Genomic DNA, 3898 nt, shown 5'->3' on the forward strand with positions numbered 1-3898 from the left:
GGTGAGGGGGTTTGGGGCATGGGGAGGGTGGGATAGCATGTACATGCCACCCGCCACCAAAAAGTACATCTTTCATTATACATACCCCGGTAATGATGCTGAGCTGACAGCAGGCATATCTTCAGATAAGCAGACAATGATACATCCCACTGTTCTAATTCTGGAACTGCTATGCCACCTCATTAATATGTGAAAATGTGTTAAAAAGCTGCTGATAAACAGCTGCACAGAGGCAGAAATAGTGGCTCCCATCACATTTGCAAGCTTTATTGGCTCTCCAACATGGCGTAAGAAACGAAGCTTTGCCTGCATGTATAAACTGGGTAATTTGCTATAATGCTCCACTTTATTGGTAGACATTTTGCCATATCATGTCTCCCCAACCACAGTTTAAGGACACTTTGTTTTACACAGCTCTGTAAACTGCCTCTTTATTAGGAAGAACTGTCATGTTGACTAGCAACATTGCTTTAACATTCCAATTTATCAATAAAACAGAAGATTGACTAGCTTCCATGCATTGCACAGTTTCTAACAACTGAATTTCTACTTGCTCAGAGAGCATTTGATTAAGAAATTAAATACTAGTTATATATGAATCAGTGCAAGCCCTGAGTTCACTGAGGCCATGGAAAGTGCAGTTCTTAGGCAAGGGGAGTAAAATTTTATCCTAATCCAAGACCAGCCCAAAGGTTAGAAAAGAGGCTTACCCAAAATGTTACAGCCAGAGCAGATTTTCAAACCTCAAGGGCACTACTTTCCAGCTCCAGGAGCAAAAGTCCCAATTTACCTGACCTCAGGGATGGCTCTGCTTCGTATTTCTCCAGCTACGCTTCCAGCTAAAGAAAAAGTCCCACTGAAGCACAATCCAATTACCTCCTTTCTCCCACCACCTCTCCCCTTTCCAGTGACAGATTGATGGGCTCCTCAGGTGCCTCCTGAGTGTGTCCTGAGACAGGGAACAGAAACATTGAGCTCACCGAATTGATTTCCACCTGCTTACCTATTTAGACCAGGCCTATGGAGGTGATTTTCATCACTGACCTCCCCTTGACCCCTCACCCCCTGCCCTACCCAATAGAGGAATTACAGCCTGTTGGGGGAACCCTCTGCTCTGGATAAATATGCTGTTTGCTGTTTGGTACCAGGTGGCAGCTGCTCCCTTCCTTCTGGGTCGGGGATTATGTATTTGTATAATTTTTATATTATGTTTATTTTCTTGGCAGATGGTTATCTCATTATTGGGGTGGCATGCGGGAGAGAGGAAGGGTGTAACTCTAGGGGTATGGTCTGCTTGATAAAAGGCAGATAATAAAAAGGTGGGTTTTTTTTAACACAGAGACAGCAGAACTATATAATTTAACCAAATGCAAAGAGCCTTGGATCCTGCAATTATCCAAGCAATGCTTGGAACAGGGTAACTTAGAGACTGGATTTTCTTTCTAGAAGCATTTAGATGACGCTCCTGGCACACACATCTCCTTTGGCCTAGTTCCCCTGGACCCCCATTTCCATCCTACTCCCTTAGAAGAGTGCCCAAACCAGCTTCTCAGGGTGTCTCCATCTCTAAAAAAAATGTGAGTGCTTCCTGGCAGTGCTGAGAGAAGGGGGCCTTAGAATTGCAAATACAGCATTAACTTAAAGCCTTTGGTATAAAATTTGACCTAATTAAGACACTAGCGGGGCAAAGCATTCCAATAGCAATTACACAGGTTGTAAAGGGGTGAAGTACCTTTTAAAACCAAGAAATGCTTTTGCCAGAAATAAGCGCCCCTGAGGGTCAAATGAGGAATTGTAAATGCAGGACATCACTTGCCTTGACCTCAAGTAGGGCGCTTCCCTTCTCTCAGCTGCCACAAATGTCACTGGCCTGGGGACGAAGCACTAGATTCCCTCTTCCCTAGAACTCCATTATCTCTTTCATGGACAGTTTCTCAGAAGCTGTGATGATCCTTTCATTTTACCTGCCCTACTAAGCCACTCATCCCTTCACAGATTTTGTTTGAGCACTTACCATACGCCAAGACCTGTATCAGCTTCTAAAGACGCAGAAAAGGATCAAACTAACAAGAGAATGAGCTCACATGATAATCTCTAGACCAAATATAATTTGTGGACATTTTTTGCAAGTTCTCCTGAAGTTCTCACGATGGAAAATTATTCACTCAGTTCTGTTTTGAATATTGAGCCCTTATTAGGCATGGGTACTGTGCAAGGTGCCAGAAATACAAAAATAAGTAAGTTATAATATCATCCCAGTCCCTGAAAGTCATAAGTCTAGTGGGAAAAAATAGGCATACACATAAACACTTGAGACAACAAGTAATATCCCTTGGTCGTACTTCGGAAAGAGAGGCACACAGAATCACCTAGCTGAGACAGCACAAGACTCGAAATAAAGTTCAGTGGTCCTGCTTGGTATTGCAGTACAGGTTCACCCACTTTAAATTAAGTGAACAAGAGATAAGGGTACAGGCAAGACTGCATAAGTTCAAATGCCAGGTCCTCCACTTTCTATGTGTGGTTCTGGGGTAGTTACTTATATTTTCTGTGCCTCCATTTCCTGATCTATAAAGTGAGCTAATCAAACCCCCTCTCCAAGTTGTTTTAAGGATTAAAGACAACATATATAAAGCACCTGCCTCGATGCTCTCCCAGTTCCATCATTAGCTGTGTAACGTTGGATGAGTTATTTGAACACTGTGCCTTAGCATCTTCCAAATATCTACTTCCTAGGGCCATTAAGAGAATTTAATGAATAAACACATGTAACCTCTTATATAAAATGCCTGGCACAAAATATCAGTTATTATATTGATGTTTTTATTAACCACAAATATACCCTCAATGTAATAATTAAAAAGCTTTACATTTTAAATTATGTTCTCCTATTTGAAGAAAAACACCATCAGCCTGGAAATCTGAACTTGAAGAGGATTTAGGAAAATTGATTAACCTCTCTGGACCATGGTTTTTTCACTGATAGAGCCCCCTCCTGCGGAGCCTTCCTGACAACCTCCTTCCCTGGTAGGCAAAGTCGGGGGCCACAATAACACACAAAGAGCACCTGGAGAAACGACTATCCTGGGTTGCTCTGGGTCACTTACTAGTTTCCTAATTCATCTGTGAGTGCTTTGAGGGCTAGGACTTTGATCTCACCTCTGTATCCCATAGAAGGTCCTAAATAAATGTTTGTTGATTCAGCAAGTCCCAAGATTTTAGCTGAGATGTTTGGGGGCACTGAGAGATTCAATTGACATACTTAAAGCCAACCATCTAGCTAGCAGAAAATGTGAGCCTGGAACTGAAAGTCTTCTCCTTCTTACTACAGTATCTTCCCCCAAGACTACAAAGTCAGCATCTACAAAGTGAGAAATTGGGAACGATTGTTTTCTTTACAAATAACTCTTTATTTCAGGGGGTTAATAACAATTACCTTTAAATTGCAAGCTACTCCAGTGCCTTTAAAAATTAATTTGATTTAGAAAATGTCAATGTATCTGCAACTCGTCAGTAATATACCTGTTGCTCAAAGCAAATGAGGCTGGATCCCGACTCACAGTTTTAATTGATGTGTATTATTAGGATGACTAACGCCATCTGTGGGCTTGGGGTTGGTTTGTTGTTGTTGTTTGCAAAGAGAAGCAGCTGAAAAATTAAATAAAGAAATCATGACTCTAAGGCTCTCATTGGTTCTTACTTAATTCATGGGCATTTATCCAAATACTCAAAGAAGTGGAATGAAATCTTGAAGCACAAAACTCAAATTATTTTCACTCCAGGACAATGAGGTTTTCTCATGATCCCAAATCATGATTGTAGAACACCAAAACAATGAAAAACAGTGATTATCTTTTACATTCCAAAATGAGCCCTTAAAACTCAGAGACAAGTTTTA

This window comes from Homo sapiens, chromosome 1, assembly GCF_000001405.40.
Source record: "Homo sapiens chromosome 1, GRCh38.p14 Primary Assembly".
NCBI lineage: Eukaryota > Metazoa > Chordata > Mammalia > Primates > Hominidae > Homo > Homo sapiens.